This window comes from Homo sapiens, chromosome 11 (assembly GCF_000001405.40).
Source record: "Homo sapiens chromosome 11, GRCh38.p14 Primary Assembly".
Classification (NCBI taxonomy): Eukaryota; Metazoa; Chordata; class Mammalia; order Primates; family Hominidae; genus Homo; species Homo sapiens.
In genome coordinates this window covers 86,546,133-86,560,189 of record NC_000011.10, presented here as the reverse complement: position 1 = coordinate 86,560,189, position 14,057 = coordinate 86,546,133, and the positions used below count along the sequence as shown (strand labels likewise).

The 14,057-nt window shown below is 44.8% G+C and overlaps 1 protein-coding gene across 21 annotated transcripts in view, besides 1 other annotated feature; it reads left to right on the top strand.

Moving 5' to 3' along the window:
• ME3 (malic enzyme 3) overlaps positions 1 to 14,057 on the top strand; it is a 237,687-nt gene that overhangs the window by 112,427 nt on the left and 111,203 nt on the right. For all 21 annotated transcript variants that reach the window (NR_172888.1, NR_172889.1, NR_147828.2 and 18 more), the window contains 2 exons: positions 367 to 500; positions 3,488 to 3,637. Coding sequence is in view for 8 of the 21 variants with exons in the window: in NM_001395868.1 (NP_001382797.1) it covers positions 367 to 500; positions 3,488 to 3,637 (284 nt within the window). In the remaining 13 variants the exon portion in view is untranslated. The remainder of the gene's footprint in view (positions 1 to 366; positions 501 to 3,487; positions 3,638 to 14,057) is intronic.
• Positions 488 to 989: an enhancer, noted in NCBI's record as "H3K27ac hESC enhancer chr11:86270243-86270744 (GRCh37/hg19 assembly coordinates)". NCBI's record gives its function as "activates a minimal SCP1, AML or CMV promoter by ChIP-STARR-seq in naive H9 embryonic stem cells {active_cell/tissue: H9 hESC(naive)}" and the evidence as "EXISTENCE:reporter gene assay evidence [ECO:0000049][PMID:30033119]".

Below are 14,057 nucleotides of genomic sequence, written 5' to 3'. Positions count from 1 at the left end.
CTCCCTCAACACATGGGGACTATGGATTTGGATTACAATTCAAGATGAGATTTGGGTGGGGACACAGAGACAAACCATATCACTGTTCTAAAAAATAAAATAAAACATATATATTAAGAAAAAGAAAAATGCTGATGATACAGATAGTTTCCCCATTTTTTCCAATGAGGAAGCTGAAGTTCAGAAGCATCAAAGTAACTGGCACAAGATGACCCTCCTACTTTAATAGCAGAGGTGGAATTTGAGTTGAGGGCCCTTTCTACTGAGTCACACTGACTTTTACCTATCTGTGGGTGGGACCCCTTCTGTTCCTTTGTCTCCTGAGTATGCACTTATGTGTGGGTGTTCTTTTCCTGTTTTTCCCAGGGGATGGCCTTTACCCTTGAAGAAAGGCTGCAGCTTGGAATCCACGGCCTAATCCCGCCCTGCTTTCTGAGCCAGGACGTCCAGCTCCTCCGAATCATGAGATATTACGAGCGGCAGCAGAGTGACCTGGACAAGTCAGTACCTAGTGTCTGTTCTCTCTGTCTGGTCCTTGGGCTGAGCTGTCTGTTTCCTGTGCTTCACAGAGGGTTTTCTGGAAACTCTCCAGCTAAAAAAGGCTGAGAGCCCAAAGAGATCCCAGACTCAGCCCTACCTTCTAAAGGATTCATGGTCTCCCTGAGAGACAAGGCTTGTTATGACTGAGACACAGCTGACATGTCCTGGGGGAAATGGGAAGGGAAACTGCATTCCAACTAGTGGAATCTGGAAGGGCCTCTGGGAAGTGGTAGAAGCTGAGTCAGCATAAGAAGCACTGATAAGATTTCAGCAGACAGCAATGGGGTTCAGGGAGAACATTTCACTGAGAGGGACGAACTGGAGCAAAGAGGTAGAGACAGGCCTGTTAAGGAAGTAGTACGTGGCTTGGGTTCCTGGAATTAGGGGGACGTGGTGGGGGAGAGGGAAATGGACAGGGGACACCTTAGGATGGACCTAGATGTCATTTGTTGGAGGCTATGGGCAACAGTTAATAACCCTGCCTCCTCTGTGAGTTCTCCTCCAATGGGGATCCAGACATAAAGAGAAAATGGGGAATCACAGGGTCAACTTTATCAGCTTTACTAAAGGTAGTCACTTCCCAGGTTGAATGGCTATAAATGGGCGTGGCTAGAATTTGAACACAGAGACCTGGCTCCAGAGTCTATGCTTTTCATTTCTCTGCTATGCCACAGCTAAGATGCAGCAGGGACCAGTGGCTACAAGACCAGACTCTAGTACTAGACTGAGTTCAAATCTATATTCTACCTCTTAATGGCAAAAGTTACTTAGCCTCTATGGGTCTTTTCCCATTGGTACGATGAGTACCATAGGGAAAACTCATAGGGTTGTTATGAGGATTAAATGCCTTAGTATTTGTGATGTGCTGAGAACAGTGCCTGGCACATAGTAGGCCGTATGTCAGTGTTTGTCAAGTAAATATGTCACCTTGTTATTGGCTCTAGCAGAAATGTAGGAAGAAGATAAGGAATCCCCCTCTTAGAACAAACAAACTATAGAACTTGGCCAGTTCTATCTATAGAACAAACTGGCCAAGACTTCGGGTCCCTGAGGGTGTGGCTGTCCCCCTAGGAGCAGAGCTCAGCAGCATGCCAGGGTCACCCTGCACTCATATTCCTCTGTTTCCCTCATACCATCCATTGCTTCTGAGTGGTGATGAGCACAGAAGCCTCTGCTCATACCTCCACCCCTACTCCCAAAGCTCTAAACTCGAAGGATGTTAGTCACATTAACTCCAAGGCCATACTGTAGTCAGGCCAAATATCCTCTCCCTCTTTTTTATCTCACTCTGATTGGGTCTAGCTAAGTCACTCTGAAGAGCAAGCCAGAAATTACACAATGAAATCAACTAACAGGATGAGACACACCCTAAGTTTGAACAATCTGAACCTTCTCCTTTTGTTAAATTTATAAAGAAGAAATCAAGTCCAAAGTGAAATCCTCTTTCCTACAGATATTAAGCTCTAAAAGTTAAATTCAAAAATCCTTCTCTCCCCAGTTATTTCCAGGTAGATGGGCCTCACTCATAGGCCTGGGGAAACATTCCAGGCTCAGGGACAGAAGAGTGTGCCCATTACTGGGAGCTCTAGAGGGCTTGCCCCTGATGCTGCTTGACCACCTTGACCCGCTTATTTCCAGGAGTCCCTCATTTTACAGGTGCTTGGGGACACGCTAAGAAAACTCGCCATCTTCTTTTGGGTAAGGGCAGTGGTGTGCTGGTAAATCTTTAATAACTGGTTATCTGTGCTGGGTGAGGGGCGGGATAGGAAATTATGGAATCTGCCGGATTCCATAGTGTAAATACTTGTACGATGGCTGATTTCAGGTTACCAGTTTGACATAACTGAATGTAGAATTGAGAAAAGATGTGCACAAATGGCCACTGGGTAAGAGAATCCCACACTGGCAATGGGCTGAGATCCTTGCTCTTCCTGAGTATCAGTCCTCTCTTGCTAAAAACACCTTCCAGAGCACAGTTTTTAGTTTTCCACCAAAGGAGTAATTCCTTTGGTACAGAGGAAGAGGCTGAGACCCAAGAAGTCACACAAGACTTTCCCAAGTTCACACAGCTAATAAACAGCAGAGCTGGGATTCAAACATAGGATCCTGATGTCATGCCCAGAGATCATTTCACCAGACCACAGACTTTTTTACCCCTGTTAGAAAATTTCTCCCATCCCACCTCATGCCAGAGCATCAAGTACCTTGGTATTCTCCCCAAGATTATTATCCAGAAAGGTTGTGATATTAGCAGTCACACTTAATTGTGAATTTCAACCCCTAGGTTTTCTCTCACAGAGGTTTTTGCATTCTTAGGAGTCTGAATGGAAGCCTCTTTCCCTGGCTTAGTGATTTCAGGTCTCAGGGATTAGGTAAAAGAGAGATTATTTTTGGAAATCACAACTCGTGACAGGAACCAGTCCAGTGTGGTAGGAGAGGCCAGTCCTAGAGTGCTTATATGCCCAGAATTTTCCTTGACCCTACCCCACCTCCAGAATATTATTATGCTATTGTCATTCATTAATGTTCACATAATATCATAAGCATCTTGAACAGTGGTTGAGAGCACAGATTCCAGAGTCAGACTGCTTAGATTCAAATTCCCACACGCCATGAGAATTGGGGTGAGTCAATTTCTCTCTACATGAGTCTCCTTGCCTCTAAAATAGCAAGAATTATAATCCCTACTTCACAAGCCATTGGAAGTTTTAAAGGAGTTAATGTAAAATATTTAGAACAGTATCTACACCATGTATAATAATAAGCACCACAAGCAGGTCATCTTCACATTTCATAGCTGTTGAAGCTCATGCTCAGGGCAGATGGCTTGCCCATGAATGTTCCGGGCTGAGCAGGAACAGGAGCCTTGGGTCTTTGCACCACACCACAGAGGCATCAGGGCCTGCTGCTACCACATGTCAGCTTGCTTTTTCTCTCCTTTTACAAGGTACATCATTCTCATGACACTCCAAGACCGGAACGAGAAGCTCTTCTACCGAGTGCTGACTTCGGACGTGGAGAAGTTCATGCCAATCGTGTACACGCCTACCGTGGGGCTGGCCTGTCAGCACTATGGCCTGACTTTCCGCAGGCCCCGGTGAGCCCCCGTGGAGTGAGGGCTCTGGGAGGGGCTGCCTCATAGAGGGGAATAAATTCTTTCCGCCCTTCATGCATATTGGGACTCTGGAGGCTAACTCTGATTGGGTCAGTGGTCCAACAAAAAGACATTTGATTTCAAGCACTTGCTCAGAAAAATGACCCCGTAAGCAGAGAAATGAGTGAAAAGAGTAGCTAGCAAGGGTTTATTGACTCTTCTTCACCTCCAAATAATAAATGCCCAGCATGCTCAGAGTTGGCCTGAGAGAGAGTTCAGGTTGTATTTCTCTCATTATCTACCTGTCACTTCTCTCACCCCCTCTGGTCACCTCCAAAGTACCAACAGCTCTCCTGCCAATTCAGGCCAATGAATAATGGAGTGTTGGATACCAAAGACTGAATTCTTTTGATGTTTGAAAAACCAGCATATCTTCCTTTGGGCTTGACTCAGATTCCACTTTAAATGTCATTTTATTAGACAAAACTTTGGCACTCCATTTTCTCTCAGAGCCAAAGAATTTTGAGGAGTTTTCTAAAGCAATCAGGTTTTTTTTCAAAATGACTTCAGAATATATGTTTTAAAAAAAAGAAAAAATGGTAGAGTCCTTGGTGCAAGGTGCCTTATAATTATAAATACATAGTTCTAGCACTAATGTTAAAAGAGCTACCTGGTATATGTAATGGAACATTGTTCTAGTCTACGTTCAAATATGTAAATATGCAACATACTGTGCACAGATATGTAATTTACATTTATGTAGAATTTATAAGTTAGTGTTTGTAAATCACGCGTTTTATGGGGAACATGTAATCATGGATTCAAAACAGCTTTTTTTAATTTGGAAAAACAATCTTCTAGTTTTGTAGCCAGCATTTCGGTTGAATATTACAAGATGGTCACAGTGTGTTCCCAATGCCAGTCCTGTTTCTTTCCGGATCCCACTGTTACCGTTGGCAAAGGATAGCACATCAAACCTCATCCTGATGGTGGTGTGTCTGGCTGTTGCAGCAGACACATCCTCATCACTCAGAACAGCTAAGCTTTTGCAAACCTATAGAGGCTCACTATGCCAGGGCTCCATAACAGTTCTGGTCTTCAACATGCTTCTTGCAACAGGAAGGAGACTCCTGTTCTCTTATTCTCATTCCCAAAACCAATAGTGGTAGAGACATTAGGAGCTGATGGTACATTTCTGAAGGATGCAGGACTCTATGTACTTCCCCTGTTCCTTCTCAGAAATGATCCTTTCTGCACAGATCAGCTCATGGCATTTCATCTGAGGCATTTAGCAGCTCCCTAGGGCTTAAAGAATCAAGCCCAACAGTCTGAGATATCTAAGCCTGTCACAGCCCAGCTCCAAAATTCAGTGTTCTAACTACTCTGATCTGTTCTCCATGCCCAAGTACACTGATGTTCTTCTCCATGCCTTGGCACGTATGGTCCTGTCTGCCTCAAACTCCTGCATCTCCCCTTTCCTTGGTCTCCACTCATCACAATTCTGGTTATCCTTCAAGGCCCACCCCAAGGGTCAACTTCTCCACGGAGCCCTCCCCCATCCCCTCAGGCTGAACTGACCACCCCTTTCTTGGCCTCCTCAAAATCCATTACACATACTTCGTCTATCCCATAGTTTTCTTTTTGTTTTTCATGTTTTTAGTTGTTTGTATATAACTGTCTTCTACTAGAATACAAACTTCTTGAAGGGTCAAGAAACATGATGGATCTGTTGGGTATTCTAGACCAATACTTGGCAAGTAATTGTCACTCGGTTGGGAAAGTAATGCTGTGTACTCAGTGTGAAGAATTGGTTCTTTGCAATCAGCCCCGAATTTTAATCTCCTTGACCCTGGGTGATTTTCTTATCCTCTCTCTGCCTTAATTTCCACATTTATGAAATTGAGGTAACAATACTACCTAACTCAATCATTATGAGGGTAAAATGAGAAGTGTGGATCAGGTACCTGGCATAAAATTGGAACCAGATAAATGTCAGTGTCTATTTCTCTTCAGTAACTATTGTAGAAAGGAGAAAGGATTGATAGATGTAGAATCATATTATACATATGCATGTTTAAATATTTACCAAGAAAATTGAATCATTGAACATGTAACAAACTAACACTTTTAACTTCAGAAGGAAACCAAACCCAAAATTATGCAAACATACACAATTTTGCTTTTCCAGAACCAGCTTTTTCCTGAAGAGGACCTTTATCCCCCTAAGGCAAGATTAACCATCTCCCCTGACTGAGATCTAATGGAAATTCAAGTCTACCCCACTCTGGCCCCTATTGCCAGGATGTGTGGAAGCCCTCACTCCATATGCTCTTATGGAAACTAGATTGTAGTGGCTTCAGTGGTTCCAGATGAACTAGTAGAAGGGTTAGGACCTTGCATATGCAACAGGCTTGTAAAAGTAGAATTTGCCTCCAGAGCCCACTCCAGAATCCAGGGACACCACCAGGACTGAATTTACATATCTTAATGCATTTAATGATTACAACCTCCCTAGGAGGTAGGCCCTATTATCATCTCAATTGCAAATGGGAAAACTGAGGCACAGGGAAATAACTTACCCAAAGTCACACATAGTTTATAACCAGCAAAGCCAGGGCCCAAGCCAATCTGAACCAAAGTGTAGACAGGCAACCACCACACTACACTGCCTCTTACAGTTTCGGACTGTGCACAGCTGGTGGGCATTCTGGGTGGGATGTCGTTGCAGCTCCAGGAATGTTTGACTTCCCAGGGGTCTCAGGTGGGGATTGCTAGATACCACTTCTAGAGCTCTCCTGGGAGGAATTGATCCAGCAGGGTCCGGGGGCCTGCAGCTGAGTGAGCTTGAGGCAGGCTTGGGCAGACTTAACCATCTTCTTGGATTAGTCCCTCACACTCTTGGTTCAGACTTCTCGAATACGTTGTGCACAAACCCTTCTTCAGATGATTACCCAATTAAGTTATCTGACATGTGACATTCTGAGTTGTTGCTCTAGGTTTCCATTTGGCTGCTTTCCAGGTGTGGATTCCACACCTGCCTTGCTCCTGGGGGAAATAAAAGTTTGGGCTCCACCCAAGCCCTGAACTTCATCTGAGACCTGGCTTGGACTTACTTTGTGGATTAGCATCTGAAGGGAGGACAGTCCCGAGGCCAAGAGGGAGAGAGCCAGCACCTTCTCAGTTTCTGAAACGATAAACACTCCTGCCAGGTTCCCAAGAACAATGAAGTCCTCTGTAATGGTGTCTGGCCCCCCACCAAAGCTAATTACATCCAGCTGATGCTAAAATTGAGACTCCAACCTGCCTGGGGCTCTGCATCACCTCATTACCGGGGAAAGAGTATCTCAGGGGCACCTGAGTGTCTCTGGGCAGATAGGCACCACAGAAGGTTCTGGGCTCTGGTGGAGCCTCCTTTGCCTCATCCTGCCTCTCACTTGACACTCCTCTGCATGCGCCTCCATGAGCCTGGCTTGAGGGAACGCCCCATGAAGGTCAGTCACTAGTGTGTGAGCTGGAAGAGGTGAAAGCCAGAGGTGAGGCTGGGTGGAGGCCGAGACAGAACTCAACCCAGAGGAAGGGCATGGGGAGGAAGCCATATGGGGTCCAGTGTCAGTGAATACTCTCCCTCTCCCAGGCCACATCCCTGTTGACCAGCCCTGTCTTCACATGCCTCATCCTCCTGGGCTCCAAGCAATGTGCTGCACCCGCCTTTAGACCTAACATTTCCCAGCTTTGGTGTAGGGTCCAACCCGTATGGGTGATGGAGGTCTGAAAGAAAACATTATGACACTTGTTAAAGATGGTAAGGCAGACTTTATTCAGGAGCTGGAGGGCAGAGGACTACGATAGATTTTGAACTATGGCAGAGGAGTCTTGCAGTGAGGGAGAGATTGGACTCAACTCTGACTCCAGTAAGGACAAATGGGGATTTATAACCCAGGAACAGCATGGGGGGCGGTGCTTGGATAATTACTAGGAGGAAACATCAAGAATAAGGGGTTTCTGGTTAAATTGACAGGATGGGATTATTGCTGAAGGCGGACCAGGGTCCTGAGATAACAAGGGTGGCAAGTTACCAAAGGCAGGTGGAGGATTTTGGCCAAACCGACTTAGCAGGATTCTTGCTCACACTGGATTCTACAAGGACAGGGAGGGAAGCCCAATGTCTGATCTAGTCAGAGGGGACTCAGGAGCCCAACTAAAGTTTTGGTCAAAGGAGCGTCTTTGTCAGAGGGCTGGGTTGTAGGTAGTAGAAGCAGCACGGACTTTGAAGCCAGGCAGGCTTGGCCTTGAATCTCAGCTCCTGATGACTTTTGACAATTAATTTAGCACCTCCTCAGCCTCCTCATGTGTGAAATGGAAATAACACTTATTCACATGGCTGCTTGGGAGGATTCAATGAGATTCCAAATGTAAAGGGCCTGGCCCTAGTAGGAGCTCAGCAGCTGTGATCTGTTTGACCCAGGACCCCAGGAGTTGTCATCTACTCAGTCACCCCACCCAAGAATACACACTGTAAACCTGCTGAGGCCACCCCAGTCCTCTGAAGTACCGCCACACTCTGTTGTTTGATTCAGACCTGAAATCATCTGTACTTGCACTTAACTAGCAAATCATTAGCAAGTATGTGTGAGGAATCAGAGATCGGGCTGTGATGAGTTAGAAAGGTGAGGCTGGGAAGTGGGACTTGGTTTTATGTAGTCGGAAGCTCTGTGGAAAGTACCTGAAGATGTATTTGGACAAAGCCAGCAGCCCTTGGCCCTGAGCCAAGCTGCTGTCTTTCTTATCTGCAAATAGGTGGTCTTCTGCACACTGGCCAATAACATACATACAGGATATTAAGAGTTACCATTTATTGAATGCATGTACTTCCCATGGTGGGCCCTGGTCTAGCTATTTTGTGTGCATTATTGTTGAGCCCTATAACAACTCCTTGAGGTGCTTATTATTTCACTGAGATGAAAACGAAAGCTGACTTATCTAAGACATCACAGCTGACCAAGAGCCAATTTCCTGTGTTGTTCCTGAATTCATAGTCCAGCTTCTGGTTGGCCCTGGTAAACATGACACATCATTCTGGCCTTCACTTAAACTCCCTTGCCAGATAAGTCTGCACCCAGGAGGGGCACACACATGGGTGCACACACACACTCTCACACTTGGGAAACATACTATATCATGTTGGACAGAGCACTTGGGCTGGAGTCAGAGGTAGTGGTTCAGCCCCCTTATCTAAATACCATGTGGCCTTGGAGCTACTCCACAGCTCCAAGCTCGGATCACAGGAACTATCCACCTTGTGGCATCATTATGAGGGTCAGAAGGGCTAAACGCATGTGAACATGCTTTATCAATTGTAAACTTCCTCATAAGCTTAAAGGAGGGGTATTACTTTTTCATCTCTTCTTCCCTCTCACCCCATACCCATAAGAGGATATGGTTAAGGTTCACATTTACCTCCTTGGAGTTTCCTACTTCCCGCTCAATATGTCTGGTATGCTTCATTTTCTTGCATTGGAACCTTCTTGTCTTCAACCACCTCCACCAGCCCACCGGCAACCCCCACATGCACATGCATGTGCACACACACCCAGAGGGACCCCTGGGACATGAATTACACACCTCTGCTTCCTAAATACCCACTGGAGCCCATTTCCAGCTGTACACAAGACCAATGAATGCCAACACTTTGATCAAAGCCACTCTGGAAAACAAAGACAACCTTGCCCCAGTAAATGGAGAGATCCCTGACACCCAGGGCATGGTTTTTGAGCACATCACAACACAGTTCCAACCCAGGTGTCCGTTGGTTGGGAATACACACAAACACACACACACATACTCCCAGCAAAATTGGGAGGCAAGCAGAAAGCAAGGACTAGCATCATCAAACCAGCCTTCTGCCCAATCTCAGGGCACCAAAGCACTGATTCCTTTGGCCAAGACTGCTTGACATTCCAATTTCACCCAGACTCTGCTGCGAAACTTTCAGCTGTGCTGCTGGAAAGGCGTCCTTGAGTAGACTGTGTACAAGGTCTGCAGCCGGTTCTGGTTAACCTCTCATCTGGCCCTTTTAGTCCCTTGTCCTTGGCTGTTATAGGGAGAGCACTGGATTAGGAGTCAGGAGATCTGGGTTCTTGCCCTCAATCATCCCCTTTCTGGCTACAACTCCTTAGGCAAGTCACTTAGCTCATTAGTCTGTAGTAACAGTGGTAGGGTTCTGCTGCATGGCTTCCGTGATCTCTTCTAGCTCTAACATTTTATGATCTAGTAACCCAAATTCTATAAACAAGTTAGAAATAGATTTTTAAGTGATCCATGGTAATATTATGCAGCCAAACCTAAATTTCCCCACCTGTAAAATTAAAAGGGTCTAGTTAGAGCACCAATTCTCAGTCCCGGCTGTGCACTAAACGTGTCTGGAGAGCTGTAAATCAGAATCCCTGAAGTGGAGCCCAGGCATCTCTGGCTTTCAGAAGCTCTTCAGAGGACTCTAATGGGCAGCCAGGGCTGAGAACTGCTGACCTGAGTGTTCCCTGAAATTCTTTACAGCTTGGATCTTCTGTGACTTTTAGGGAGTTGATAATCTGCATCCCGTATTTTCCAGCCCATCCCAACCTGGAAGTACTCTTGAAGGTTGAGGTCATAATAAGATAACAGAACCTCCATCTCCAACTCAACCTTCAGCAAGCCAAATTGTTCAGCCCCACCACCCAAGCCCCCTCATCTCATTCACAGGGTTGGGAGGGGAGTTCTACATCTGCCATCCTCCTCTCTTCCCCAATTTCCTCTTGAAGTTCCTATCACTACACAGAAGTCTCACTTCCAAGTTTCACTCTCATCCTCTTGACTCCCTCATGTAATTACCCACATTGTAATAGTAATAGCTGCCCACTCATGTGATGTCAATAATAGATTAGATAGGAGCAAACATCAGGCTCAAGGGTGGTTAATCATTTAGGTAACCGTGTACCCCGTGTGGCCGGGCTCAAGAGATACACTGGACCAGTTAATGTCCTTTTCAGGAATTTGAAATGAGACATGAAAGCAGTCATATAGAAAGAATTTTCCACTTGGGAAGAAAAATTAAGGCAAAAAGGATACCATGGTTTAGACTTTAGAGTCAGGTTGTGGTAGGCCAATGGCAAATGCCAGCTAAGAAGGAACAGAAAGTAATAGACCTGGAAGTAAAGGAATATTATGGAAAGAGGAGATAAGGGCAGATGGAAGAGAAACAGGGAAAAACACAGAAAGAGTGGTCCCTAGAGCTGCCTCAGTTCATGACAGCTTTCCATTCCAGTTCCTGGTCAAAACTTTACAATAGACACTCTTTCTCCAGAGGTAACTTAAGTGAACTTCTGCCTTAGGTAACTAGAACAGCCAAACTGAAAAAGAGCTATGAAATCAGGTGGATCTGATCCCCTTGTGAATAGGTTGGATGAAGCTAACAGGTTAAAGTAAGTATCTCAACTTTAGTGAGCATTAAAATCACCTGGAGGGCTTGTTAAAATAGACTGAGCAAGTCTGGGATGGGACCAGAGAATTTACGTATCAACGAAGTCCAGGTGATGTTGATGCTTCTGGCCAGGGACCACACTTTGAGAATCACCGGACAAAAGGATGGTGAAAGGCAGCTCACTGCAAAGTGAACAGAGACCATCGGAAGGAGGCAGGAGTAGAAGACATTTCCACGGCCCACTGTACATTAGTAGAAGGAGCTGGGAGTCATGAAATATGGGTTCCTGTCATGAACTAGTAGCGTGACCTATAATCCCTCCCCCTTTCTGGGCCTCACTTTCCTCATCTATAAAGTGAGGATATTAGTAGGTGATCTCAGGGCTCCTTCCAACCCTCACGGTCTTTCATTTTTCTTGCAGATTAGAGCACTGTGGCTACAAATTTGCCTCTAATGTTTCTGGCATTTAAGGGAGGAAAATGCAAAAGTAAATGAAAACACATACTTTTCATTTTCTGACAAGAAAAAGCTTGCAGGCTTATCTGCAGAAGTGTCATTTTTTGCTGAGAGCTCTGATTCACAAATGGGCACCTTCCCAGACAAGACCAGCTGGGCAATCCAGAATCTGTCATGGATTATTTGATGCCGTGGCTTGGGAATTGATGCCGGAATAGATCTTAGGAAGGTGGAAGGAGGAGGAGTCCTTCCAAAGCATAAGGTTGTTCAGCTGTTATTTGACATGAATGTCACATGGAGTAAGTTAATTGTATCTAGATCCCACATTGCTGAAATACTTTGGAACAGAGGTAGAGGAGAGAAGGAACATTTATTTTTGTGTCTGAATTATACAGAGTTCAATCACTGAGGGAACTGGCTTACTTTTTTAGTGAAAGCTTTGAGATTTGCATCTGAAAAAGTGAATTTGTGCTTAAATGCATGTGGCCTGCCTAGGACTTTAGCATCCAGAAGGAGCAGCTTGCTCTGGGGAAAGGACGGACACTCCTCAGCCATCCATGAGTTTGGGTGGGAGTGAAGGTGGCAATGGCTGAGCAGCCCCCACAAATGCAGACATTATGTTTTCCTTACTTAAATGGGAGACAGATGAACTTTATTAACTAGAACAGGATGTTCTGGGTTGACTTCCTTTAGCCAAAGGCATTATTCCCTGGCAATTTAAACAAACTGACTTTTGTTTCTTTTTTATCTGGCTCTGTCCTTTTCCTCCTTTGTCCCTGGCAATCACAGCCATGGTGATCAAAAGGATAGGTGTGGGGAGAATTTCCTAGCCCTGAGAAGGAAATACGTACATATAAGCAGGAGTTGAGTGGACCATTCCTCAGATAACCTTGATCTCCCATTGACCTGTACAATGCACTAAATGTTCTGTTTGCTCACATTGAGTTTTGTCTAAAAAGAGTGGCTTCTTATTTTTTTTGTTTTTGGTTTTGAATTATTTTTTATTTTATTTTATTATACTTTAAGTTCTGGGATACATGTGCAGAACGTGCAGGTTTGTTACATAGGTATACACATGCCATGGTGGTTTACTGCACCCATCAACCCGTCATCTACATAAGGTATTTCTCCTAATGCTATCACTCCCCCAACCCCCCACCCGCCCGACAGGCCCCAGTGTGTGATGTTCCCCTCCCTGTGTCCATGTGTTCTCATTGTTAAACTCCCACTTATAAGTGAGAACATGCAGTGTTTGGTTTTCTGTTCCTGTGTTAGTTTGCTGAGAATGATGGTTTCCAGCTTCATCCATGTCCCTGCAAATAACATGAACTTAACCTTTTTATGGCTGCATAGTATTCCATGGTGCATATGTGCCACATTTTCTTTTTTTTTTTTTTTTTTTTTGAGATGGAGTCTTGCTCTGTCGCCCAGGCTGGAGTGTGCAGTGGCATGATCTGGGTTCACTGCAAGCTCTGCCTCCCGGCTTCACACCATTCTCCTGCCTCAGCCTCCTGAGTAGCTGGGACTACAGGCACCCACCACCATACCCGGCTAATTTTTTGTATTTTTAGTAGAGATGGGGTTTCACTGTGTTAGCCAGGATGGTCTCAATCTCCTGACCTTGTGATCCGCCTGCCTGGGCCTCCCAAAGTGCTGGGATTACAGGTGTGAGCCACTGTGCCCGGCCGCTACATTTTCTTTATCCAGTCTATCATTGATGGGCATTTGGATTGGTCCCAAGTCTTTGCTATAGTGAATAGTGCTGCAGTAAACATACGTGTGCATGTGTCTTTATAGTGGAATGATTTATAATCCTTTGGGTATATACCCAGTAATGGGATTGCTGGGTCAAATTGTATTTCTGGTTCTACATCTTCGAGGAATCGCCACACTGTCTTCCACAATGGTTGAACAAATTTACACTCTCACCAACAGTGTAAAAACGTTCCTATTTCTCCATATCCTCTCCAGCATCTGTTGTTTGCTGACTTTTTAATGATCACCATTCTAACTGGCATGAGATGGTATCTCATTGTGCTTTTGATTTGCGTTTCTCTAATGACCAGTGATGATGAGCATTTTTTCATATTTTTGTTGGTGGCATTAATGTCTTCTTTTGAGAAGTGTCTGTTCGTATCTGTCACCCACTTTTTGATGGGGTTGTCTGTTTATTTCTTGTAAATTTGTTTAAGTTCTTTATAGATTTTTGGATATTAGCCCTTTGTCAGATGGATAGATTGCAAAATTTTTCTCCCATTCTGTAGGCTGCCTGTTCACTCTGATGACAGTTTCTTTTGCTGTGCAGAAGCTTTTTAGTTTAATTAGATCACAGTTATCAATTTTGGCTTTGTTGCCACTGCTTTTGGTGTTTTAGTCATGAAGTCTTTGCCCATGTCTGTGTCCTGAATGGTATTGCTTAGGTTTTCTTCTAGGGTTTTTATGGTTTTAGGTCTTACGTTTAAGTCTTTAATCCATCTTGAGTAAATTTTTGTATAAGGTGTAAGGAAGGGG